This window comes from Homo sapiens, chromosome 1 (assembly GCF_000001405.40).
Source record: "Homo sapiens chromosome 1, GRCh38.p14 Primary Assembly".
Lineage (NCBI taxonomy): Eukaryota > Metazoa > Chordata > Mammalia > Primates > Hominidae > Homo > Homo sapiens.
Genome location: NC_000001.11, coordinates 19,901,948 through 19,929,258, shown reverse-complemented (window position 1 = coordinate 19,929,258; position 27,311 = coordinate 19,901,948). Strand labels below are relative to the sequence as shown.

General features: G+C 46.6%; 2 protein-coding genes across 8 annotated transcripts in view, besides 2 other annotated features; one reads left to right on the top strand and one right to left on the bottom strand.

The window, feature by feature from the left end:
* Positions 1–5,641: 5,641 nt before the first annotated feature.
* On the top strand, positions 5,642–9,250 carry PLA2G2E (phospholipase A2 group IIE). Its single transcript, NM_014589.3, has 4 exons — positions 5,642–5,739; positions 6,504–6,642; positions 6,855–6,961; positions 8,810–9,250. The coding sequence occupies exons 1-4, from the start codon at positions 5,700–5,702 to the stop codon at positions 8,950–8,952; spliced, it is 429 nt and encodes a 142-aa protein (NP_055404.1). The 5' UTR covers positions 5,642–5,699; the 3' UTR covers positions 8,953–9,250.
* Positions 7,711–8,263: an enhancer, noted in NCBI's record as "H3K4me1 hESC enhancer chr1:20247489-20248041 (GRCh37/hg19 assembly coordinates)". NCBI's record gives its function as "activates a minimal SCP1, AML or CMV promoter by ChIP-STARR-seq in naive H9 embryonic stem cells {active_cell/tissue: H9 hESC(naive)}" and the evidence as "EXISTENCE:reporter gene assay evidence [ECO:0000049][PMID:30033119]".
* Positions 8,264–8,816: an enhancer, noted in NCBI's record as "H3K4me1 hESC enhancer chr1:20246936-20247488 (GRCh37/hg19 assembly coordinates)". NCBI's record gives its function as "activates a minimal SCP1, AML or CMV promoter by ChIP-STARR-seq in naive H9 embryonic stem cells {active_cell/tissue: H9 hESC(naive)}" and the evidence as "EXISTENCE:reporter gene assay evidence [ECO:0000049][PMID:30033119]".
* Positions 9,251–16,313: 7,063 nt separating the features above from the next.
* OTUD3 (OTU deubiquitinase 3) overlaps positions 16,314–27,311 on the bottom strand; it is a 30,551-nt gene continuing 19,553 nt past the window's right edge. For 4 of the 7 annotated variants that reach the window (NM_015207.2, XM_024454320.2, XM_047415806.1 and 1 more), the window contains 4 exons: positions 24,861–24,992; positions 24,272–24,368; positions 22,643–22,827; positions 16,314–21,689 (listed from right to left, as the gene is read on the bottom strand). In NM_015207.2, coding sequence (NP_056022.1) covers positions 21,513–21,689; positions 22,643–22,827; positions 24,272–24,368; positions 24,861–24,992 — 591 coding nt within the window. In that variant the 3' untranslated portion in view covers positions 16,314–21,512. The remainder of the gene's footprint in view (positions 21,690–22,642; positions 22,828–24,271; positions 24,369–24,860; positions 24,993–27,311) is intronic. The other 3 variants (XM_005245792.5, XM_005245793.5, XM_047415799.1) reach the window with 3 other exon arrangements.

Sequence of the window (27,311 nt, the reverse complement as noted above, 5' to 3'; positions counted from 1 at the left end):
CCAGCTTGCAGAAAAAAAACGAAAAGCACAACAAAAACCACTAACCGCAAGTCACCTGATGGTGGCTATAATTGCAGTAATTACTATGGCGGTAAGTCTCCCTGTGGCTACAGCAGACCAAAATTATACCTATTAGGCATATGTCCCATTTCCGCCTTTAATTAGGCCTATCACATAGTTGGAACCCCCAGTTGAGGTTTATATTAATGATAGTGTTTGGATGCCTGAGCCTACAGACCCTCGTGGGCCCTCTCACCCAGAGGAGGAAGGAATGTTAATAAATGTGTCCATGGGTTATCAGTTCCCCCCTCTTTGCATAGGGCCGGCTATCGGTTGCTTAAAAGGCTACTGACAACATTGGCTAGTTAAAATTCCAGGTCATAATCAAAGACCGGTATCCTATCATTTATTTTCTGGATGGAGCCCAGATCATTCACAAAGTTTGGTTCAATTAAAACAGTTCAAGCCCAGAAAAGAGAGGTGTCAACAACCTCAACAATGGTCAAAGAATTTAGAAATATTGATTTGGGAAAAAATTGCATCTCTGATCACGCTGTGGTACTACAAAATAATTTCTATGGAATTGTCATTGATTGGTCCCCTAAGGGGACCTTTGCAGTTAATTGTACCAATGAGAATAATAGATGCAAGACAGGACTAAAACAGATACTACACAATCAAAAAGATGACACTATTTACACTAAAAAACGTGCCCAGTTTCCCATAACTTAGACCGATTTTGGTGCAGCCGGCCCACAACCTAAAATGATTAATCCAATAATGGGCCCTGAACATCCCAAATTATGGAAGTTAATGGCCCAATCTCATATTCAGGTTTAGGAAGAAAAATATTATCTTAAAAAAAAAAGTGAGAGACTTCAATTTGTGTATCAGGTTTCTTCCAACTGAACGGTGCCCATTCAAAGTTGTTTCAAGCCTCCTTTTATGTTGATGGTCGGAAATATTGATATTCGACCTAATTCTCAAACTATTACTTGTCAAAACTGTTGCCTTTTCACGTGTATTGATTCCACATTTGATGTAAAAACATCTGTGTTGCTGGTGAAGGCTAGAGAAGGAGTTTGGATACCGGTTTCCCTCAACAGACCTTAGGAAGCCTCTCCTTCCATTCATATCATCACAGAAATGTTAAAAGGAGTGTTTACCAGAACAAAAAAATTTATTTTTACCCTTATAGCAGTCATTATAGGCCTTATTGCAGTCACAGCTACTGCTGTGGCTGCTAGAATTGCTTTACACTCCTCTGTTCAAACTGCAAAAGATGTAAATAATTGACAAAAGAATTCCGCAAAATTGTAGAATTCTCAGACCCAGATAGACCAACAATTGGCAAACCAAACAAATTATCTCAGACTGTTATTTAGATAGGAGATCGTATAATGAGCTTAGAGCATCGATTGCAAATGCAATGTAATTGGAATACCTCTGATTTCTGCATAACTCCCCATTCATATAATGGTACTAAACATCATTAGAAAAAAGTTAGACATCATCTGGAAGGAAAGAATAAAAATTTAACATTAAATATAGCCAAATTTAAGGAACAGGTTTTTAAAGCATCTCAGGCTCATTTAACTCCCCTGCCTGGAACTAACACACTCTCACTGGAGCTGCTGATGGACTTTCAAATGTAAACGCTCTTAAATGATTTAAGACCACTGGAGGATCAACTATTGCAAATTGTGCTAATGTGTATCTGTTTATACTGTTGGCCTTTAGTCTACAGATGCGAAAGACGCCTCTAAAAAAAAAACCAGACACCACGAACAAGCCATAATAGCAATGGTGGTTTTAAAAAAGGAAAAAGGGGGGCATGTTGGGAAAAGGGCTTGTGGGGTACCTGTATAAACTGGCCATAAAAATATAGGACAATAAGTTGTGGAAAGCCACTAGAGGCCTCTGAGGAGGAAAGCCTCCTAATTGCCATCATGTTCCCATGCTCAGAGCGAGACCCGCTCTCTTATCTGTAAACACTGTGTTCAAGGAGAAATACACTCCTTTGAAGCACTGGAATGTGGACAGACGTGCAGGCTCCTAGTTAAGCCCACTCCCACTAGCTACTCTCTGATAAGTTAAAGATATACTGTTTGAGCACAAAGTAGATTCATTTAAACCACTATTGCTATAAATTACGCCTATGATGCACTGCCACCCTTTCACTGTTTCACCCTGAACGTCTGCTTCTTAGATCTAAATAATTGTACTCAATAAATAGTGTGGAGACCAGAGCTCTGAGCCTTTTGCAGCCTCCATTTTGCAACTGGCCCCCTGGCTCCCACCTTTATGAACTCTTAACCTGTCTTTTCTCATTTCTTTGGTGCCACCGGACTTCAGGTACTCTACAGGTGGTGAAAATTGACACTAATTTTCAGTTGTTTAGAAGGTAACTCCGCAGTGATTCATTGTTTGGGCTCTTGTAACCCAGGCGAGGAGAGCCGGGGGCTGCCAGGAGATCAAAAGGAAATGGTGAACAAAGGTCTCCCTTTTCAGGAGACCATGACTCACAGCTGCTAGGGGAATGGTACTAAACCATTAGAAAACAGCACTAGGGGAATGGTACTAAACCATTAGAAACTGCCCCCATGATCCAATCACCTCCCATCAGGCCCCATCTCCAGCATTGGGGATTACATCTCAATGTGAGATTTGGGTAGGGACACAGATAAAAACCATATAAATGATATTGATGGTGATGAAGATGGTGATGGTGATGGCAATGGTGATGATGATGGTAATATTGATGGTGATGACAATGATGGTGATGGTGATGATGGTAATATTGACGATGATGATACTGATAGTGATTATGATGATGATGATGGTGGTGGCTTCTAAGCTAAAAGGAAGAAGTTTATACTAAGAAAAAAAAGATATCACTGAGAGGCTGGGCCCTGTTCCCTCCACTCACCTCCACCCTAACAACCCTCCATCGTGAAAGTTAAAACCTGTCAAGTAGGGACAGTAATCCCATCAAAGTGCTGGGAGCCCTGGCCAGGCCACATGCTATATCCCAGTGGGAGTAAGTGCCTTGAGCTCCTGGGGCATCTGCTTTCTCCGTGGCCAGGGAAAGGAGAAAAGGAGGGACCCAATATTTATGGCTCCCGGGCAAGGCCTCCTGCAATGGCTTTCCACATTTCATTTCATTTCCATTTCTTCTGGTCTACAACCTTGACAGGACAGTCTAGTTACCTCTATTTTATGGATGATGAAGCTGGACTCAGAGAAGTGATGGGACTGGCCAAGATCACACAGCCCCTAAGTGCAGAAGCCATCACTTAAGCTCTGGTCTTGCTGATGCTTTCTACTGCATTGTGCCAATGGGTGGAGACCATAAAATCAATTACCTTTCCCCAAATGTCTGAACTGTCCTCCAAGAACAAGTCCTACCAACACTCCATCTTTAAACCTCAACTGAGAGCATCTCCGCCTGGAAGCCTGCCTGCCTTTTTCTGCTTGGCTCTGGCCCTACAGTCTTTACTTTTCTGCTACAGGTGTAGACCTGCAGGGACTTGAAGGAGCCCTGTCCTAGCCAGGCCAGGATTCAAAATGGGTCACAAAAAGGATCGTCTCAGAAACCTGGCCCTTCCTGGGAAACACCCCTTATGCCACCACAGGAATGGCTGTGGGCCAAACCTACTAGGGAATCGACGCTAATTTTCAGTTGTTTAGAAGGTAACTCCTCAGTGATTCACTGTTTGGGCTCTCGTAACCCAGGCCAGGAGAGGCAGGGGCTGCCAGGAGATCAAAAGGAAATCGTGAACAAAGGTCTCTCTTTTCAGGAGACCATGACTCACAGCTGCTAGGTGATCCTGGGCAGGTGGACTCACCTCTCTGACCCCTTCTCCCCGCAAGTCTTCTCTGAAACAGGGTGAGAAGAGCCCAGCATGAAGAGAGTCCCAGGAGGAGTTATTAGCAGGAAATGAATGGGAGGGGCAGGGAGAAAAGGGTTTCCTGGGCTTTACTCTTATTTTATTTATTTATTTTTTTCTGAGACTGAGTCTCACTCTTGTTACCCAGGCTGGAGTAAAGTGGCGTGATCTCGGCTCACTGCAACCTGCTCCTCCCAGGTTCAAGCGATTCTCCTGCCTCAGCCTCCTGAGTAGCTGGGATTACAGGCGCATACCACCACACCTGGCTAATTTTTGTATTTTCAGTAGAGATGGGGTTTCACCATGTAAGCCAAGCTGGTCTCGAACTCCTGACCTCAAGTGATCCACCTGCCTTGGCCTCTTAAAGTGCTGTGATAACAGGTGTGAGCCACCGTGCCCGGCCGATAAAAGGTTTTTAACGTAAGAGTATGAACACTCAGCCCTCCTCTCCTTACTCCAAGGCGAAACCTCCCCGGGCCTCTATCCTCCGGCTGGTTGGGGTCAGGGAATTTGTGTCGGGATTCCTTCCAGCCTGTAGGGTGAGACCCAGACTCAGTGGGTTTAGTCTCCTCTCCTGGAACGGAGGCTGGCACCAGGCCCTAGACCAGCTCCTGAAGCCTGGAGCCCGCTGGTTAGGCCGAGGGCTGCAGTACACCGGTTGTCACGGGCCCTGGGCACATCAGCCTTTGTGGGCTCTTCCTCCATATATTAAATGTTATGACTGTCTTGGTTTGAAGACAAATATAATCCAGGTGGGATGGTACTGGTTTTTCTCCTACTTTTATAAGAAAGTAACACATTCTGTTGGGGTTAAAAGTAGTATGGCTGCTAGGCACCACCTCCACTTCGTGCTGGATGAGTTGGCCCAGGTGAAGCCCTTTATGTTGCCTGGGTTTAAATTCTAGCTCATCACTTATGCATGTGCCTCAGTTTCCCTCCTCTGTAAGATGGGGATGACTGCAGCACCCACGTGATGGGGCTGTGGTCCTGCTTGAAAGGGGCTTGGCACAGCGCCTGGTGCATAGCAAGTACTTGGTGAGGGCTGGCTGCCTGGTTGCGTGTGAGTTTTCCATCCTCCTGTGCGGGAGGCAAGAGGGACACCTTCTATCCTCATAATACAGGCAGGAAAACTGAGGTTCCAAGCAAGGGAAAGGACCTGCCCACGGCCGCCTAATACGCAGTGGAACCAGGACTCCAAGGCCACAGACCCAGCGACTCCCAGGCCCTGAACGGTGACGGAGGTGCAGGGTCAGTGATCCCAGTCACAGACCAGAGCAGGAGGGTCGGGGAGGGGAAGCGCCAGGCCAGGCCAGGGCCTCCTGCCTCCGGTTCTGCCCGGGTGGAAACTCTGAAACAGGACGGACTTGGCCCTGGGCACCTCCAGGCTGTGAGAACTGAGGTTTTTCAGTCTCTCTGAGTCTCAGTCAAGTGGAGATGAGGAAAAGATACCAAGAATGACAAGCACCTGGCACAGCCCGCGCCTCACAGCGTGGTCAATGGATGATTTTTTGGAAAGGGTGGGTGATGGGAAGGGTGTGAGTAGAAAGAGCCACGAGATTGCCCGCCATCCCCCACACTGCCTGGAAGCAGAGCCCACAGGCCCCAGCTGGCCCCTCCCCGGGGACTTGGCCAAAGTGTCAGACCTGGAAGAATCGTTGCATCACTGGGCACTCACGGGTTAATGACAGGGAGTGGACAGGACCTGGGTATTTAACTAATTAGGAGGCTCCCTGAGATCAGAGGTGGCCCTGCTGCTTTCTTCTGCTGCCTTTTATGCTCCTTGTGCACCTCCCTTCCCCCCAACCTGGGATGAAATCTCCCCACGTGCTGGTGTTCCTTTGCCTCCTGGGTAAGTGATCTTTGTGACCTTCAGCCTTCTGCCCCATCTGGCAACCCCAAGCTCCCTGGATGCCCCTGAGCCTGGCCCTACCGAGGGTGTGGTGGATGCCAAACACTGGAGGCTGCCCCCTTCCTGCCACCAGGGTGACCCTGAGGCCAGTTTTGCCTGAGCCAGCGGTGGCTGGAGCAGAGGGGAGGAGAATGCAGGCTGGGAGGGGTGAGGGGCATGGGCCAGGGGCTGGCGCTTCCCGGATGGCACACCCTAGGCTCCTTCTCCTATCCTAGCTTCCATGTTTGGCTCCAACCTGCCAAGGTGGGCAGGATTCAGTCCCATGGCTGAGTCAGGAGCACCGGGAAGAATTTGGGGAGGTCAGCTGAGGTGGTCAGGAGACAGGTCCAGTGCCATCTGATGAGACCTGGGGGGACAGAGTGTTCCTGGGTGAGATAAGGGCTGACACCTGGGGAGGACTGGTGGCTGGTGGGGAGCCCCTGGAAGGGGTGAATGAGTGACACTGTAGTAGATAGAAGAGTGGGAGGGGACACTGGGGGCGCTGACACACTGGAGGAGAGGACTAGGGGATGAAGGTGCAACGGATGTCACTGGCAATATTATTACTTATTACCACGGTTGTTGTTGAGAGTGGGTTGCTTTGGGGAGGTGAGCTTAACTGGACAACTGGAGAGATGCCTGTGATCAGATTTGAGGGGACATCAGGGGAAGTTGGCTGCAGAGGGTGGGGCCCTCCCTCTCCCTCTCCCTCTCCCTCTCTGCAGTGGCTCTGGTCACCGGGAACCTGGTTCAGTTTGGGGTGATGATCGAGAAGATGACAGGCAAGTCCGCCCTGCAGTACAACGACTATGGCTGTTACTGCGGCATCGGTGGCTCCCACTGGCCGGTGGACCAGACTGACTGGTGAGGAAGCAGCCTGCAGGGGGACCTCCATGGGGATGGAGGAGCTGGGGGATCCTGGGAGGATCCTGGGAGAAGGAGGGAAGCCTGGGGGCACCTGGAAAATTCAGGCTGATCTCTCCTCTGGGCTGCTTTGGGCTCGGGGGCCCCGAGCAGCCCCTGGTCCAGCCCAGCCTGGCTCACAGGTCCCTCCAGGTCAACCATGACCCTTACAGGTGCTGCCACGCCCACGACTGCTGCTACGGGCGTCTGGAGAAGCTGGGCTGTGAGCCCAAACTGGAAAAGTATCTTTTCTCTGTCAGCGAACGTGGCATTTTCTGCGGTAGGTGGAGAGCCCTGAAGTGACCTAGACACCCTGCGGTGAGGTGGGTGGAGGCAGCTTAAGACAGGAAGCCCCTCCTGATGGTGACCTTGGGCCTTATCAGAGCCAGACCCTGGGCTGGAGGCATGGGGTTTCCCGTTACCACGTAACAGTGGAGACCCAGATGTTCACCAGGCACCCAGGCCAGAGAAGCCCGTACCCCATCAGTGCAGCCCTCAGCCCCAGGTATCTCCCTACCCACAGACACCTCCCAGCTCCAGCCTCTGGAAAGAGGAGCAGAGGGGTCTGAGCTGAGCCAGGGCCCAGAGGAGCTGGACTCAGGCACCCTCCCAAGGCCTCAACAGGAGCTAAAGGTGAAGTCCTTCGGACAGAACGAGCTGGGGCTTTGACTGGGGACAGCAGATGCTGTTTCCAAAGGCTGACTCCTCAATGGGACTGTCAGGCTGGACCCATTTGCTCAGCTGTGCCATGTCCAGTGCCCATTTGGACCAATTAGCTTTCCTTCAGTCCCAGGCCCAGGCAAGCAGCCTCAACCAAGTGAGACTGTCGAGGGACCCCACATGAGAGAGCCAAGCTCTCTCCCTGCCACAAAGCCAGGAGCAGCCTGAAAGAAGGGCAGGGCCTGGTGGGCGGATGCTGCAGCGCGGAAGGATTCGGGAGGTCGCGGCAGACTCAGGTCTCTAAATTCTGTCCTGGCGGCGGGGCAGAGCTGGCTCCATTTCCTCTGCCGCCAACCACTCGGCAGGGCAATGTGCCAGGTACTGAGTCTCTGTCGCTGGGAGTCCATGCAAGGCAGAAGCAGCCACCTGCCAGGATCAGGGCTGAGGGGAGGAGGCAGGTGGGTGGAGACACAAGCTCTGGATTCTACCCAGGGCGTCACCTTCCACCTGCCTGTGACTTTGGACAAGTGATGTAATCCCTGGAAAGCCTCTGTTTCCTCACCTAGAAAACGGAGAGGCTTATACCCACTTCCCCAGCTCAGCCCAGCTCCTGGAAAAAGCCCCCCAAAAGAGGCTGACCGGCTCGGCGTTAAGAGTCCCTTCCAACCCTGGGTGTTGCTGACATAGCGGGCGTGGGCAGAGCCCTGACGGGAGACGAAGGCTCAACTTCAAGAGGGGAAATGAGGCACCTGGCCTGAGCTGTGAGATACAGTCATGGGGACAAAAGGGAGCCAGGGCCACTGCAGGCAGAGGTGACAGAGGCAGCTGCAGTGGAGACAGGAGGAGCCTTCTGGGCCCCTACAGAGCTGATGCCAGCTGGCTCTAGGAAGGACAGGTCAGGGTAGAAGTCTGACTCCCAGGCTGGGTATGGGCAGAAAACTGGGCTCTGTCCACTCTGATGAGGACAGGCAGAGGGCCCTGAGCAGCCTCCAGCTTTGGTCCCAGTGGCTTCCAGCCTAGGCCCACGCCACTCTGGGGCACACATAGCCATCAGATTGAGTTGCTGTCATTTCGTAGCTGTCCTCTCTGCTTGATGGCCACAATCCGCCATCAGCAACGCATCACACAGGGGTGCAGGGGTTGCCTAGAAATCCCCCTGGTCGGGGGCAGTGAGAGTTAGGGAACCACGTGGTGTCCCTAAGGCCGGAGAGAGCTAAGGGCAGTCAGCGTGGGCTTGGGAGAGCAGGGAGGGACAGCGAGGGCAAGCTTCCAGCTTCCCTGGTGTCCTGAGCCACAGTGCGCCCCGCCCTTGTCTCTTGTCTCACCCATCCGTGAAACAACCCGGGAGCTTGGGCTTCCATCAGAATGGAGTTGGTCCAGGTCAAGAACGTGGACCCAGAAGCAGCCAAGAGCTGTCCCACACATATCCTGAGCTTCTGTGGTCCCTGACTCACTTTGTCCCATCCAGCCGGCAGGACCACCTGCCAGCGGCTGACCTGCGAGTGTGACAAGAGGGCTGCCCTCTGCTTTCGCCGCAACCTGGGCACCTACAACCGCAAATATGCCCATTATCCCAACAAGCTGTGCACCGGGCCCACCCCGCCCTGCTGAGGCTATGCTCGGCCTCCCCCCCGTCCCTGGAGGTCCCGCCTCGGGCTGCTGTAGTCCCAGGCCTGGGGAACATTGGCACCAAAGGCCCTCCCTTTGGAAAATTCCTTTCCTGCAAACTCATCCCTCCTTGAGAGCTCAGAGATATGTCCTGGACCATCACTAGCCTCCCAGGCTACCCCTTCTCTGTAGAAAGAACCCTGCCCCAGGAGCCATGGACCCTTCAGCACCCAGAAGACTGTCACTAGCTTCTGGGATCTCAGCTCCCTCTTCTGAATAAGTGAATAATGTTTTCCCATAATTCTAATGTTCTTTGAGTCTCAAATTCTGTCAATCATTCTAGGATTTAATTCACTAGAGTTTCATTCATACATTAATTTTCTGATCACCTACCTTGTGCTGACAGCATGCACTGGAATCAGTGGGAACAAGTCTGACATGGGTGGCCCTGCCTGCAATTCCAGCATTAAATTCTTTTAATTTTCCATGACAGTAAGTTTCTGTGGCTCTCTTTTTCTTTTTCTTTTTCTATTTTTTTTTTTTTTTTTTTTTTTTGAGACAGAGTCTCGCTCTGTCGCCCAGGCTGGAGTGCAGTGTCGCGATCTCGGCTCACTGTAAGCTCCGCCTCCCGGGTTCACGCCATTCTCCTGCCTCGGCCTCCCGAGTAGCTGGGACTACAGGCGCCCGACACCACACCCGGCTAATTTTTTTATATTTTTAGTAGAGACGGGGTTTAACCGTGTTAGCCAGGATGGTCTCGATCTCCTGACCTCGTGGTCTGCCCGCCTCGGCCTCCCAAGGTGCTGGGATTACAGGCGTGAGCCACCGTGCCCGGCCCTGTGACTCTCTTTTTCTAACATTCTACAATCTTATCAAAGATAATGCAATCTCTGGAAGGAATATTTCTGGCCATATGGCTTAATGTGAAAAGCACGAAAAATACCAACCTAAAAATATTGTCCCCACTGTGTCATCAGGCCTCAAATCCCCAACACTGGCAAAGATTGGTTAAGAGTGAGAAGCAGCTCTAGATGGTCTTATCCACACCCCTTCTTTGATGGGCCCCTGGGGGCCAGAGAGGGGATGTTCTACCCGAGGGGGTGTCCCCACTCCCTGGCCCTTCATTTCTTCATGAAGTTGTCATCAGCCACCCACGCTCTGGTATGGCCACGTTAACCAGGCCTGCTGGTTGTAATCTTGGAAAGACCAGAGTGCCCAGGGCCGTTCAGCTGTGAGGACACAGGAAGAGGAGGAGGAAAGGGTTCAGCATCCAGGGCTGACTCCAACCTCCCGATTCTGAAGCCATGAAGAATGTAATGCACTCAAGGATTCCCACCAGGAGGAATGCAGCCTATTCTGGAAGCAATCTATTTCAGCAGATGTTACTTCTAAAGATAGAATTATCTATTATATGCTGATGAAATCTTACAGGACTGGGATTCGCCTGCTCAATGACAGAGCACCTGCCAATGCATTGCACAGGGCAAAGCTCACAGTTGGACACTCAACAAATGACCACTCCCTTCACCCTTCTCAGGGCCTGTGCACAGCATTCAGGACCTTGAGGGCAGGGAGGAGAGCAAAAAAAAATCAAAGGAAGAGCCAGTCATGGTGGCTCACACCTGTAATCCCAGCACTTTGGGAGGCCAAGGCGGGCAGATCACCTGAGGTCGGGAGTTCGAGACCAGCCTGACCAACATGGAGACACCCAGTCTTTACTAAAAATACAAAATTAGCCGGGCATGGTGGTGCAGGCCTGTAATCTCACCTACTCAGGAGGCTGAAGCAGGAGAATCGTTGAACCTAGGAGATGGAGGTTGCGGTGAGCCAAGATCATGCCATTGCACTCCACCCTGGGCAACAAGAGTAGAAACTCCATCTCAAAAAAAAAAAAAAAAAAATCAAAGGGATGTATCGCTGTGACCTTTAAAAGGTGAAGAAGCTCTGTGCTAGCAAAAGGAAGGAGGAGAAGAAAGGGAGGACAGGCGTGTGTACTTTGCTGTTGTAACTGACTCAAATCCTCAGCCAAGTATCACCAGAAGACCATGTCTTAAAGCAAAAACGGCCTGTGTGGGGGAAGAATGCAAACCTCCTTTGCAGGAAAAGTGGTCCTGAGGCGCCCTCTGGTGTCCATTTCATTCAGGCCACTAGGGAGAAACCTGCGCTTGGCTTAAACCTCGATTTCTCTTCCTCAGGTGGGCAAAGTGTGCTTCTGGGCTAGTGAAATTGGTCCCCTCACATTTTCATAAATAAATATACTGAGAAAATGCCAAAGAAGGCCATACAACCATCTGAGGATGATGGCCACTGCAGAAACAGAAAACACAGGGAGAAGGAGCTGATGGGGCAGATTAGAGAGAGGTGACACCTGGGCATGATGGATTTAAGGTACCAATGGGACACCTACCTGATGATCTTAACAGTTGTATAACTGTCCGACGAAACAAACATTGAAACTTAGGAGCAAGATTCCAGCGCAGCCTGCTGTGACCCCTGCTACTCACCCACCCCCACCCACCAAAACCAAGCTGTCTTTTGGCCACAGACCAGCCTTTACTCTTTGCTTTCCCAGGGCTCGATAAATGTTTTGGGTTTTTTGTTTTGTTTTGTTTTTTTGAGACGGAGTCTCGCTCTGTCGCCCAGGATGGAGTGCAGTGGCACGATCTCGGCTCACTGCAAGCTCCGCCTCCCGGGTTCACGCCATTCTCCTGCCTCAGCCTCCCCAGTAGCTGGGACTACAGGCGCCCGCCAACATGCCTGGCTAATTTTTTGTATTTTTAGTAGAGACGGGGTTTCACCGTGTTAGTCAGGATGGTCTCGATCTCCTGACCTCGTGATCCGCCTACCTCGGCCTCCCAAAGTGCTGGGATTACAGGCGTGAGCCACCGCGCCTGGCCAATAAATGTTTGATGACGGGATCAAGGGGCCTGCTTAAATCCTGTTTGCCTATGTGTGCGTATCTAGAGAACCCTTGATACCCAGCAGCAGACTTGCAAAAGAGACTGAAAAAAAGGAAGGGAGAAGCCTGAACTTGAACTGGGAGGTTCCAGGTAGAGCGCTTTGTTCTGCCGCTTTAGCAGCAGTGGCTCTGCTTAGACCTTTGCTATTCAACGTGGTCCATGGGCAGGGGCAGCCGCAGAAGCAGCAGCAGGGATCCTGTTCAAAATGCAGAATCTTGGACCTGACCCCAGACCTGCTGAATCAGAATCTGTAAGTTAACAAGCCCCCCTGATGATTCGTGTGCACATTAAAATCTAAGTGCTGATAAATGGAGTCTCAGTCTCTGCATTTGTCAAATGGAAGTATGACATTTCCCCAGCAGGCTGGTTATGGCAAAGTTTGAGATAACATGCATGAAAATGTACAAATAATGGCTAGCACTGAAAAATCACTCGTGTTCTAGGAATGAATGAATGGATAGTCATTAACAATAGCTAACACTTGCTGTGCACTAGGCATTTGCCAGGCACTGTTGTAAGTGCTTTATGTGTGCTAATTCATTGGATGAGTAAAGTAGGCAACGGGACTGTGTCAAAGCTGGGGAGGGGACATTCTTACCTAAATGTTTCATAGTTTGCCTCTCCAATTTTGATGAGAGGATTTGGATTGGTTTTGCTTTTGTTCCTATTTAGCACCTAACAAAAGCTATGCATGAAGTGCAAAGGTAAAGACCTTCCTCAATTAGTGACCAGAAATCACAGTGGAATTCCCAAGTTCAATGAGGAGTCTGATTAGGATTTCCTGGACATGCATCTGCTTCACTGGGGTTCTTTGCAATGTCACCACCAGAGAACTGAATACTAAAGTTAATTCTTTCCTTCAATAAGTTTTATGCAAATTATGCTTCTGGTCTTTTCCTGGATGCTGGAGATAGACACGAATCAGACAGAGTCAACCAGCAGACAGAAAACAGCAATAATTCTACACTAGCAAGTAATGTGACACCCCTAACAAGAGAGTATCAGGACTAATGGTTCTTAAACCCTCCATCCTTCATCACATCTCCATCCTGTCCACTGATGCCAGCTTCATTTTCCCAGAGCCTGATTTTCATCATGTCACTCCTCTGCTCCTGAACCATCAGTGACTCCCCATTGTCCACCAGCCCCTGGTATTCCAGGCTTGGTGTCATCTGCTTTTCCAGCCTCTTATGCAGCAATATCTATTTACTAAGCTCCTCTGCTGTCCTGCCTTCATATCCTTGTGCAGTAGCTTCTCTCAACCTAAAAGCCTCCCTTGCCCACAGGCACATCACCACGCTAAAATCCATGGGCTTAAAGTGAATCCCAAATGTCGTCTCTTCCTTTATATTCAGAGACAGGGTCTCCCTCTTGCCCAGGTTGGACTGCAGTGGCACGATCATAGTTCACTGCAGCCTTAACCTCCTCGACTCAAGCAAGCCTCCCACCTTAGCCTCCCACGTAGCTGGGACAACAGGTGTGTGCCATCAATTCTGGCTAACTTACTTATTTTTGGTAGAGACCGGGTCTCGCTATGTTGCCAGGCTGGTCTCAAACTCCTGGCCTCAAGCAATCCTCCTGCCTCAGCCTCCCAAACTGTTGGGATTACAGGGATAAGCCACCCTGCCCAGTCCCAAATGTCACCTTTTCTATGATGCTGTTTCAATTGGAGCGGATTTCACCCTCCTTGAACTGCCAAGCTGTGTTTATACCTTTCCTAGAACTGCTTATCCCGTTATTTGGGTCCTTGCATGGTGGCGGCAGACTGCTCTGGGTTCAAATCCTGTCTCTGCTACTAAGCTGTGATCTTGGGACAATTATTTATTCCTGAATAGAACCATCAGCCTCACAGGGTGGTTTTCAAGTTCAAATGAGACCATGTATCCAAAGTGTCCGGGGCATGCTAGCTGCTCCATCTACGCTTGGCCACCTTCTGTATTTTTGCTCTCCAATTGCAAATGTCACACAGTAGATGCTAAACAGGTACCTGTTCAATTGAATTCTGCGCTAATGTCCCCCAAAGGCAGAGATAGATGGTGCAGCATTTTTCCAGGCAGGCGCTACCTGTAACATTGCCAGGTTAGAATGCACACACAGGCCAACTCCAGACACTAAAAAGCCGTCAGGCAGATCTTTGTTGTTTTGGGGTTTTGAGACAGGGTCTCACCCTGTCACCCAGGCTGGAGTGTTGTGGTGTGATAAAGCTCACTGCAGCCTAATACTCCTGAGCTCAAGTGATCCTCCTGCCTCAGCCTCCTGAGTAGGAGGGACTACAGACAGGCACCCAGCCCCAAACCCCAGTAATTTTGTGTGTGCATGCATAGAGACGGGATCTCGCTAGATTGACCAAACTGGTCTTGAACTCCTGAGTGTGAGCAAGCCTCCTGCCCCAGCCTCCCAAAGTGCAGGGATTACAGATGTCAGCCACTGCACCCAGGCCTGATCTTGAGAATCCATTCAGCAAGCACAGCACTACTCTTCCAGTAGTGAAAGGCACATGAGAGGTGTTTCAAGAAGTTCCCAGTCTTTCTCCAAACTGATTATACATCCATAATAAGCTCTGTCCTAAACACTGGAGCATACCCATCCCACTCCTAGGTTTTGCTTGCGCTGGCCATTCAGTCCAACATGTCTTCGCTCCCTATTTCTGTATCCTGTCTCCCCTTTCGTGCCTCGTCCAAATCTCACTTCCTCCACCAAGCCTTCCCGAATTCTCTGAACTCACAGCCCTCTCATCAGTACCTCCTTTATGGCATGTGCTCTCTCCTGGGTCAGTGACGTGTCCACTTTCATTCCCGGACTGGAGGCTTTTTGAAGGCAGGATCCATGACTGTTTCAATGCCCAGAAATAAGGACCCATACAGAGTAGAGGTTCACTAGATGTCAGATGGATTCTTGGATGTTTAGATGAATAAATTGAACAGAAACAATCCTCTGGGGATACCCAAGTCCTTCTACCATAGGGAGGTTCAGACAAGTTTCTCCAAGAAGATAGGAAATGTTTCCTTCTGCCAAGCCAGAATCTGTGAAGTGACAGGACTGGCCTCAAGCCTTTGCAACCAAGTTCTAAATCTCTGCATCTCAATGGTCTGAGAGTGCCCATTCCATCAGCAAAAACCATTCTGTCCAGCCAAAACCATATTGGAGCAGAGCTTTTTATGAACTGTGTCTCAAGACACACACTCTTGTTTCTGTGCATTGGAGGAAGGGAAAGGCCAGAAGCCTGGGGTGGTGACTCGCTGATGCAACTCTAAACACCCAGGTTTTCAGCCAGGCTTTCTCCAAGGTGACCATGAGCGGTTACCAAGAAGGGACAAAGGCACAGCCACTTGTCCCTACCTGGCTCAAGAACACTTCTCTGTCCTTAAAGACTCATCCTATCTCCCACACAGGATCTTACAGGTCACCTGGTCCAACGCTGCCCAAACAGGAAGCCCCTCTAATCCCTAGCAGCAGCCACCTGGCCCCAGCTGAATCCCTGGAATGGGATTAAGGAGGCCATGGAAGTTTTCCAGTGTGCGGGCAGCACCTGGATTGGGACATCACTTTGGACCATAGCAGATTTCCTGGAAGAATCTCAGGTTAAATGGGGTCTGGAATCTGGGCCTCACAGGCTCAGGAACCAGACAGTGTGTGTCTATCCAGAGATGATGGGTCTCTCAGTTGTGGACTGAAGAAGAATCACACAGAGAAGATCACTTGAGAGATTGTGGGAGAATCTGCTTGCAGAAGCTAGAATATTCTTGACTTTCATCCAGAAAACCATCTAGTCCTTTTTTGTGTCAAGGCAACAGGGAGCCAATTCAGAAGGCTGCTTGTTGAATACAAAATGAAGAATGGGAGAATGGGAGTCTCAAGGTCAAAATCATGACATGGTGAGGTCTGCCGAGCCAGAGCCCTTGTGTGGATGGGGCCCCTGCTGGACGCAATGAAGGACTCCCTTCGCTCTGGTTTCCTGTGGACCCTTCTAGGTGAGTTGTGCCCCCAGATGGTACTGTCTGTGCCTTGGCAGGGAGCCTCCTCCTTGAATGGGGTCAAACAATCTTGAGAGTTCTAGAGGAGCCCAAAGTGGCCGCTGACAGACAACTGCTACATATTTAAACAGTTTCAAACTTATCAAGAGATGCTCTCAGATATCAGGCAGAAATCTTAAGTGTGTAGTCCTTAAGAATGACCCTGCCATTGTGTTTGGTGGCTGCATTTAGCTGCACTAAAGCAAAAATCAGCTGTTCTAAGCTTAGTCAGATCCCAAAGTACTATTATACACCTAGAATACTCAATCCAGCACACGCAAACACGCAAAGCTTCCACACAAAGGTCTCCAAAAAGGACATTTCCCAGCACACTCAGCCTCCTTGCATTCACTCAAACGGTGGTCAGATACTGATAAAAACAACTTAAAACTTTGTTTTTAAACTAGAATTTATTGGTATACAAAACTCCATTTCATAGATAAAGTGGCACATCTTTGCAGCTTCTATTGCACCAAGTATCGAAGATTAAAAACACAAAAAAAGAAACATTTGGTTTTGAAAACACTGCAAATAGCCAAGTACAGTACTTTGGTAAATAAAAAATAAAATGGTTCAGATGAACACAATCCGTGGAAAGAAACAATCTAGGGGGAAGGAACTATGGACATCAGACAATGGTCACAATTCTCACCATCGAGCTCCATAGATAAGGCAAGACTTGCTAAGTCTATGGATCACGACCCCATGGAGGTCTTAAGTATCTCCAGACTGAAGCTAGAACAAGTATAGTGCAATTAGAAAGAGAGAAGGCCCCTCCTCCACGGATACATCCACCCCTCTGTAAAGGAGACTGACGCATGCCAACACTTCTACATGGGAAAGGGGAGCCCCCGGGTGTGACGTCTGACTCCTGGCCCTTTTCTTCTTTCCTCTGAGCTTAGTGCTGGTGGAGGCTCTGGAAGAGGCACTGGGGAGGCCAAGGGCCCTTCCTACTATGAAAAATGAACTGTAAGAGTGGGAAAATGTGTGAAGCCTCTTACCAGTACTGCTCGAGGGACCTGCCAGGGATCAAACCGCCAGCTGAGGTCTGTGGCTGAGCTCACATGATTGTCATGGATGGCTGGCAGCCTGCCGCAGGCTGACACGCCAAGGATGAGAGCCAGGCCACAGAGAGTCTGTCCGGCAATCGCCGCCAGCCGCAAGGACTGGCAGTGAGCAGCAGCAGCTCTGGATCACGGCTATGACCTGCTTAGAATAAATTCCCTATGCAAAAGTTCGTAGTTTTACAGAAATAGATTCTTTACACTGGTACCAGCCCCTTCTCAAGTAATTCTGCAAGGATGCTAAACATTTTCATGGAACCACAAAACAGTCCTAACGAGGACAGTAAAGAGAGGGACTCTACAAAGCAGCTGCTTCAAAGACATAGGTCAGAGCCTGAGGTTTTAAAGGAATTTCACCTTGGGAGAGAACTTCCAGGCCAACCACAAGGCACCGCTCTTTCCGGAGGTCCCCATCAGCGGTGTGCGGTAAGCTCTGCATCCTAAGTGCACGTGGTGACTGGTGCTCCGTGTTCTCTCCACGTTACAAATATGACTGTCCCCTTTCTAATATGCGATGGCAGACGTCGTAATTTATGCCATCTAGATCTTCAAATCAATGATGTCATTAAAAAAATACAATTTACTGGCCGGGCAGGGTTGCTCACACCCGTAATCCTAGCACTTTGGGAGGCTGAGGCGGGCAGATCACAAGGTCAGGAGTTTGAGACCAGCCTGGCTAACATGGTGAAACCCCGTCTCTACTAAAAATACAAAAATTAGCCAAGCATGGTGGCACACACCTGTAATCCCAGCTACTCAGGAGGCTGAGGCAGGAGAATCGCTTGAACCCGGGAGGTGGAGGTTGCAGTGAGCCGAGATTGCCCCACCACACTCCAGCCTGGGCAACAAAGCAAGACTCTGTCTCAAAAAAAAAAAAAAAAAAATTTACTTTAGAGCCAGGAAAACATAACTTATAAAAAGTCCATTATTAAATCACCTCAGAACAACTGTCAAAGGCCCCGGAGTTTTAGCAACACTTGTTCTGAAAGCTGTGAATAATGAGAATGGCAAAACAGAAAAACGGCATCAGACTGAGTCTAAAGATTTAACATGGCTAGACAGAGCCTTGAGGTAAGAAAGTGAAGAGCTACGCATCTACCCAAAACGGGAGTCGAAGAGGGCCACTGACGCAACACATTAAAATCAGGAAGCTCCATTCTCTTCCCCCCGCAGAGATCCTTTTGGTCAGGGTAACTTTTAGTCACCTCTGACTAGGAATCCAAGTTTCCTTCAACTGACTGAATATTTCACAGAGGTAAACTGATAGCATTCTATGCTGACCCAGTAAAACCCAGGCAGAGTCTACAGAGTTTCTCAGAATTAGAGAAATTGCACATTGACTACAGGGACTCACTACTAGTACAGTTCAGCGCTGAAGTCCACCTGATGCTACCTGTGTAATATGTGAGCAACTCCCCGACTGAAGGTGGCCCTCCTCCCACCCCACCCCCGACAATCACATCATTTCACACTGAAGCAGCTCCCTGGGGGAAGCAGGGCAGGCATAATAAATTACCCATGGAGAGGCTCCCTCCCAGCCAGCTCCAGCTGCTCCACAAGGGAGATCCCACTTCCCAAGCCCTCAGAATCAAACTGGCATTGGAAGTGTTTTCAGAGCTTAATAAAGAAACTACAGACAACTTCGACTAACATTTAAAATTCTTTCTGCCACAATTTCTCAACCATACTTTGCTCCTGAAAGTGTATGTTCATTATTATTGAAAAACTAAATACACACATACATTCTAACTTTCTAATATCTCCTAGTGGCAACTACATTATCTAGAAGTTATGGTTCTATGCTGCTTTAATACATCTACCTCTCTAGTTCAAAGCTGTTGCCACTAAAATGGTATTTATTTTGACCTCTAAAAAAAAATATTTTCAAAATCCGTAAAACCTTTATATACCGTTTATAAGAGCAGTAAGCAGCTATGCACCACTGCTCCATCCCCTTTCTCCTGACCACACTACAAGCTACCAAGACAATCTCATGTAACATAAATCTCTGCCAGCCAAGATGTAACACAGAGGTTAAGACACATTCAGTTCCTAATAAAGAGTTCACAGGAGCACCTGTACTAGAGTAACAGCTGCTGACAACAGTCATCCCAGGACTAGACATACTGGGCCTCCACTCGGGCTGCCAGTGAAGGAATTTTCAAGTGCCCACTGAGGCAACTAAGCATGTTGATTCCAACCTTCTCATGTACCCAGTGAGACTGAGGCAGTGAAGTCTAAATTGAAACCATTAGCTAGAAGGTATCACTGAAGTTGGATGCATGTACCCGATTCCTAATAATTAACACACTAAACAGACCAACTGTAACTGAAAAGCTGTGAAACCAGTAGTAAAATTACTAAAGCCGTTTGATTAGTTTTTTAAACCACCATTATTATACTCCAGAAATGCTGAAGCCTATTACCAGAATTAGGTAATTTAAAAAATAAATGTTCCCAATATTCTTTAATAACTTTTTAGCAGCTTCTAAAACTTCTAAAACCCAATAGGGCCCAAGGCCACCTTCATTAACCAAGTAAATAAAGCAATTCTACTACTTCTGACAATAAGTCTCTCTTAAGCTGACTGCTAATCTGAATTTCTGGCATACAATCTTATCTTTCTGAGAGGATCTGGCCTCTGCACTCAAGCAGTACAAAACAGACAGGAAAACATCTTCATTCAGAAACACTCAGCCAGTCAGGAATCTGCCCAGAGTTGAAAACCAAGACAACCATAGATCCTAACGCACTCGATCCCACTTCCTTAGAGTAAGGCAACAGAGATCTTTCATTCGTTTGGAATGAGTAGAGTAACACAGCCTCAAGCTCAGGACTCTGCGACGTGCACAGAAAAAAAATGCTGTGTACTTTTTTTAATCTGCTAAATTTTACAATGTACTGTACCCAGGAAGAAACCTAAACCACAATGTCCTAGGAGCAATTCCAAGAGACTACTGATGCTCCAACTACAAAAAGCCACCAAAGTCAAAAACAAAACCAAAAGATACCAGTGAAACTGAAGAAAGCCAAAGGCCTGGTGATAAAGACAATCTGGCGACTCCAGGGCCTACCAAACATTTTAGTTTTCAATTTGCCTCCGAATTTTTATAATTCTGAAATGCGAGGGGTGGGGAAGATAACTAATAATTTACCTTTCAACTCAGCATCAATTATTTGCCCAAGTATTAGGTCCCAAAAGACAAAGATGATCCAAGATGGGCTGCCTCATACGTTATAGTTCTTAAGTTCACATCCACCTAACTCAGTTTTAGGAAAGACGTCTCTCCACTGCTCAAGTCTGTCTATTTCAGAACTGAAGAGTGATTCGAAGGCCTCAACCAAAGTATGTTCTCTTCTCTGCTGGTCCAACCTAAGTCAACCAACCCTGCTGGTCCAACAACTTCCAGCAGATGCTGGAGTTTTCCCAACTTTGAAATGCCAAACAGGGCTTAAATAAAAAGAAATAAATGTAGCATTTTATAAGATTTAATTTCCACAATACTAAGTTTAGCGACCTATAAGGTCAAGTTACCACGTATCTCTCTGAAGGCATCTAAGTCTACAACAGAAGGGAAGAAAATCGTTATTTAAAATGCGAACATGAAAAACCTTATTCTTCCAGGCTTCTCCTATAAAAACATAATTCTTTAGACTCCTCTTAGGCAAAACCCCAGGAGTTCGTCTCCTGTTACAACTATAGACCCTGCTCTACACACTATCAGAATTCCAGAACTGTATCACAAGCAGTAACATGCCATCTCCCCACTGTCAGGAAACAAATACCAAAAACCCAACACCACTATCAACTTCCCAACAAGGCCAGGCCTAATTAACAGTCAGCTGCATTTATCATATGGCTTGAGTGCAAATGAACTAACAGCACCTGCATCCCATCTGAAATAACATCAGAATCAGGAAGGAGAGAAATGCGGTTAATTTCCATCCTGACTGCAGGCCACAACCCTCACGTAACTTTGGGAAAACAATTCCTGAATTATTTTCTGAGTAACTTGGATTAGAAGTAAATCAAAGCATATTCCTGAGTTGGAGATCATTTATAAGCTACCCTATATATCTGTTTGAGAATGAAAGAGAAACTAAGGAAACTTGTCATTCTGAATTTCTAACAATTATTCTAAACTACTCATGAACAATTACAGCAAAACTCACCCCAAATGTTAAGGAAAGATCCTAGGGTCACTGAAGTCTGATTTTCAGGGCAAATAAAGCCACCACTTAAAAGGTTTTTCCTGACCTAACTATCTGCCCCTAAAACTCAGTATTTTAATTTTGTATTACAGAATATGAATGGCCTCACTGCATTTTCATAAAACACCAACATATCACTAATAAAACTTCGAACAAAAAAAGAGGCAGCTTGAACGAAACTAACTCAGTGTGTGAGCTCATGTGTGGGCTTCGTTGGTTGTGTTGCGTTTTATAAAAGGACGGCCTCACTGGAAAGTCTAGCACACAGCAATCCTTTTCCAGCCGCTTCTTACAACTCCCAAGAGGCCAAAGAGTCAGATGTTGAGAGCGGCGAAGGTCTTCACCAAGGTGACCTGCGTGTTCGCCTCTGCTTCGCTTCTGTTATTGTCCCTGTGGCTACCTCTGCTCTCCAGGGCTTTGTGGCGGTGCCTCTCCTCCTGCCGCTTCTTCTTCTCCATCCACTGCTGTTCTCGCCTCTGTTTGTTTGTGACCTGAGAGAGAAGGCCATGGTGGTGAGTAGGAAGCACGGGGGACTCAAGCTGCCACCTGCTAGAAGGGAGATGGTGGCAAAGGGCACAGATTGCTTTTCAGCAGGAACAGGGAAAACCAATCTAAGACGCCAAAGATGATTTACTGTCCACTGCTGCTCAAATTTGCATTTAAATTTATATTTCCTTGCTGAACTAGCAAACAAAATCAATTCCATTCTTCTCTTAAAGAAACCAGCCCTCATCCAGCAAGAGTTGGTAACAAACAAACGTGTCAGAGAACATTTTTCCCCACATAATTTAATGCCCCAGGTAATTCTGACAAAATCCTCAGAAGCTTATTGCATCTCTGCCTCTGCTGTGGCTTTTTACACTGTGGCATTTTGAGCTCAGAACTTCTTGGTGAAAATCTTTAAAATGATTCCAAATTCAGTAAAATGGAAGATGTCACATACTACTTGTGGGAGTGAAGGGCAGGGAGGGAGATGTACCTTTCTGGGAAGCACGTGACAATTTACCAAAAGCCTTTAAAAGATTCATGTATCCATGACCTTTAACCTGTTCATTCCTCTTCTGGGACTTTATTCAAGAAAATAATGCAAAAACCAAAGATTTATACACAAAGGTGTTCATTGCAGATCATGGCATTTATAAAAAACATGGATAAACATGGGAAGAGCCCACATGTACAGTAATGTTAGGTGGGAAAAGGAGGCTTTTCATTTGTACACTGAGGACAATTTCAGGGTGTATTTCCTTCCAACTGTCACGGCATACACCAAACAGGATAAGTGAGGTCATTCTGCTTCTTGATGTAGCTTTATGCATTCCCCAGATTTTCCACACTACTTTTATAAATCAGAAGGAAAATACAAATAAAATTAATCTCAAGCTACCACCACTGCCACAGAATTACACCTGCCCACCACCTGCCCATTCAACCCCATCTTACATACCTTTGCGAGCTGGTTTTTATTTGCTTTGTTTTCTTCACTAGGGCTGGCCTGTGCCTTATTGTTTTCGGTCCTGCCTTCATTTAAGCCCTGATTTCCAAAGATTCTGGCACCACTGCCACCCTCCTCCCACAAAGGGCCACACTGCTTCAGCACTCGACCACTGGGCTCAAGATTCTCTTCTGCATCTTCCAAAGAAAGACATTTCATTAAAACTGAGAACCTGAGAGTTACACAGGGTGATGACTGTATTAATGATTCCAAAATTACCTGGGTCCCTACTTCAGTCATAAGGGAAGTAAGTTTCCTTGAGACAAATTCGAATGTCAAGACAGTGGGAAACATAGGAAGAAAAAGTTGGTAAAAGTTGGAAGATAAATTCTAAAATAACCCACTGACCAGCCTTTTGATCAGCTTCCAACCAGCAGAGTGCTTTTTAGATAAATTATGTCTTAACATGAATTTTTATGGGAAAATCTTTCATTTGCACCCAAAACCCAGAAAAGAAACAGGCTCTAAAGCTGTGCTGTCCAATGTATTAGCCACCAGCTATATGTGGCCATTTACATTTAAATTAAAATTAAACAACATTTAAAACGTAGCTCTCCAGTCTCATTGCTCATGTGGCAGGTACACACTATACTGAACAGCACAGATCACTGGAGGGTGCTGTTTAAAGTCACAAAGACCAAGTTACTTACAGATTTCTAAAAGTACAGCCAATACATAGTGGATAATAAAATACCTCATCACATGGAGCACTATGATGCCAGAAACAGTATCTGACACGTAACATCTGGCAATCAGTATTTATTGATATCATTTTAAATAAATGACTTGAGAAATTAATAAGATGTTACATCCTTTTCTCTTTTTTTTGAGAGGGAGTCTCGCTCTGTTGCCCAGGCTGGAGTGCAATGGTGCGATCTTAGCTCACTGTAACCACCACCTCCCAGGTTCAAGCAATTCTCCTGCCTCAGCCTCCTGAGTAGCTGGGATTACAGGCACCCGCCACCACACCCAGCTAATTTTTGTATTTTTAGTAGAGACGGGGTTTCACCATGTTCGTCAGGCTGGTCTCAAACTCCTGACCTCGTGATCCACCTGCCTCAGCCTCCCAAAGTGCTGGGATTACAGGTGTGAGCCACCACACCCAGCCGTTACATCTCTTTTCTTTCCTCTGAGTCACAAAATTATACTTGGTTCAAATTAAAAAAAAAAAATCAAAATTATCACAAGCTAATACAAATCTAAATATTTCCACCAGAAAAACAAGGTATTTCTCTCTCCATTTTATTTTGGTTATCATTTTGGTCTTCTAAGGCCATCTTATTTCTAAACAGGCTAATTCTTCCCTGATGCGTCCCCCAGCACCCTGTACTCCCAACCCCATTATGTACTATCGCACCAGTTTATCTGTCTCCACTATCCACCCTCTACCCCTGAACTATACTCCCCCTGAAGCAGAGACAGGACCTAGTAAAAAATGTCTACGTACAGAACGTGCTCAATAAACAACTCCTAAATGAATGACAGAACAGTTACCACCTGTGACTTGGTTAAAAAATAAATATTTGGAAAATTACCAACACAACCATTTTGAAGATCTATAAATATTAGTCATGGACTTACTATTTCTCTTCCCTTGGTTCATCCGAAGCACGGCAATTATTGCAGATTCAATATTATAATTTTCAGCTTCCAGGTTCTGGACTATTAAATTAAAATCCTATCCAAGAAACAAACAAACAAAAAAACCACTTCAAAACTCTGGGTATATTTTTCTGCCTAGCTCTACTTCAATAATCATAAACATAAAGATGTAATAGTGAGAATTAACACAAGGTTTCAGGACCTTTTCCATTTAGAAAAATGTCGATTTCCAATAAGGTTGGTCCCTTGAAATAACCGTCTAATGTACACTTATAAATGAATTCCCTCTATAAAACTGCATTTGTACTACTGTAAACACTAGTCAGGAAAAATTAAATCCACATACTTCCTAAGACCTTTGAGCAGTACTGGGTGAAGTCTAGCAAACAACAGGGAAATTAATAAACAGCTCTCATTAAGCCACATACACTAATCAAACTACAAATCTCATGGGCCTATTTTGGCCCACAAGGTGCTGATATGCTAGAGAGGTGCTACGAAACTAAGAAGTAAGCTAGGCACAGCAATGCTTGCTTCTAAATCATTCCTGCAAGACAGAAATACTAACTGAACATCCAGTTGCATTACAAACTTTCTGGACAGCATCCTCTACTTCATCTCTCAGGTCGTCTTCAGAGTCCATTCCCTTTGTCTTGATCTTTTCTCTTTTATTTGATTCATCTTGATGAAGCATCTGAAACTAAAGGAAACAAGTAATAATCAGGGAACTATGTTGAGAATCAAACTATGTTCAGAATCTTTAACACAAGACACTCTAATCTGGAAAAATTCATATATATAGGGGAAAACCTTCTAGAAACAACCTTAAGAGAACAGCAATGACTAGGCTCCATTTTATCCACTCATTGTACTTTGAGTCACAACAGAGGAATTGAAAAGAAAGGCCCAAAAGACAGAATAACTGCTCAGTAAGAAAGGCATTCGCACTCCCATGTCTAAATGCCAACACTGGCAAATGACTGCTGCCTCTGACAGCACACAGTCACCTCAGCTGATTTTCAGAGCCGTGAGCTTAACAGAAAACGATCCTCTATACTCGCACCTGGTGAACTTTTGCACAAAAACGGTGCTGGTCTTGAAGAAACCTACATACAACTTCCCTCTGGTTCCCAAGCCTTATTTGATCATCAGCACGCTTAGAGGTACTGAAGCTCCCGTCCCAGCTGGACAGTCACGGATGAGCATGACTCATCTAACCTCAGGTACATACCACCACACCCAGGGAAACTTGTCAATCCAAATCCTAAAGCCACAAACAACAGTTCACTTGGGATCCATGAGACCTTTACAACCTGGGCCTTAAATCAGAAAAGCTAAAATCATCCCTCTGTAGATGCTCAACCACCTTCTTCTTCTGCTTCCCATTGATGCAGGGAGATAGGTAAATGGGCAAAGACAGTTCTATTTTTTGAATGTAAACATATAGTGGACTCCAGCAATGTACAGTATATTCCTCAGAATGTTAATACAAAACATTCTATTATAAAATTAAACCCTAAGAATTTGACAAAGTTACAGGAGTCTTTGAGCCGGTAGTTTCACAGTTTTGAAATTTAGCCAAAGGAAATAATATCAAATAGAGAAAAGATTTATGGGCCTGGTGCAGTGGCTCACACCTGTAATCCCAGCACTTTGGGAGGCTGATGGGGGTGGGTCACTTGACCTCAGGAGTTCAAAACCAGCCTGGGCAACAAAGTGACATCCCGTCTCTACAAAAAAAATACAAAAGAATTATTTGGACATGGTGGCATGCACCTGTAGTCCCAGCTATTCAGGAGGCTGAGCTGGGAGGATGGCTTGAGCCCAGGAGGTGGAGGTTGCAGTGAGCCGAGATCACACCACTGCATTCCAGCCTGGACAACAGAGCTAGACCTTGTCTCAAAAAAAAAAAAAAAAAAAAAAAAAGAGAAAAGATTCAGGTAAAAGTGCTAACAGTGTTACTTATAGTGGTGAATAACTGGAAACCACCCAAAGGCTTTATAGTATGGATATGGTTAAATAACCACTGTAAATCCACAGAATGATGTCTTCATTCCCACTAAAGGAAGAAACACAATAATCACTCCCCCCATTATTACTTAACAATATTTTGGAGGTAACAGCCAAAGTATTTAGCCAAAATAAATTTTAAGTATAAAATTAAAAAGAAAAAAGTAATCTGTCTTTGTAGATGATATAATTCTGTAACTGAAACAAGAGAATCAACAAAAAACTACTGCAAACCAAAAAAATTACAGCAAATCATATACCTGGGTAAGAATCTAGCATCTAGAATATATTAAAAAACTCTTACAACTCAAAAAGGCAGAACCCAATTAAAAAATAGGCAAAAGACTTGAATAGACATTTTTCCAAAGATATACAAATGGCCGAAAACCACATGAAAAGATGTTCAATGTCATTAGCTATTAAGAAAATGCAATTCAAAACTTTAAGATACTGGCCGGGCGTGGTGGCTCATGCCTGTAATCCCAGCACTTTGGGAGGCCGAGGTGGGTGGATCACGAGGTCAGGAGATCGAGACCATCCTGGCTAACACGATGAAACCCTGTCTCCACTAAAAACACAAAAATTTAGCTGGGCGTGGCGGTGGGTCCCTGTAGTCCCAGCTACTCGGGAGGCTGAGGCAGAAGAATGGCGTGAACCCGGGAGGCGGAGCTTGCCAGTGAGCCACGATCGTGCCGCTGCACTCCAGCCTGGGCGACAGAGCAAGACTCCGTCTCGAAAAAAAACTTTAAGATACTAACTAGGATGACCATTTAAGAAAAAAACATTTGTCAGAGAGGATGAAGAGAAAGCAGAGCCTTCATACATTACCGGTGGCAAGTAAAACAGTGCAGCTGCTGTGGAAAACCGTTTGGCAGTTCCTCAAAATGTTAAATTTAGGTTTATCATATGACCCAGCAATTCCACTCCGAGGTATATCCAAAAAGACTGAAAATAGGTATTTGTAAAAATACTGTACACATATACTCACAGCAGCACTATTCTCAATAGC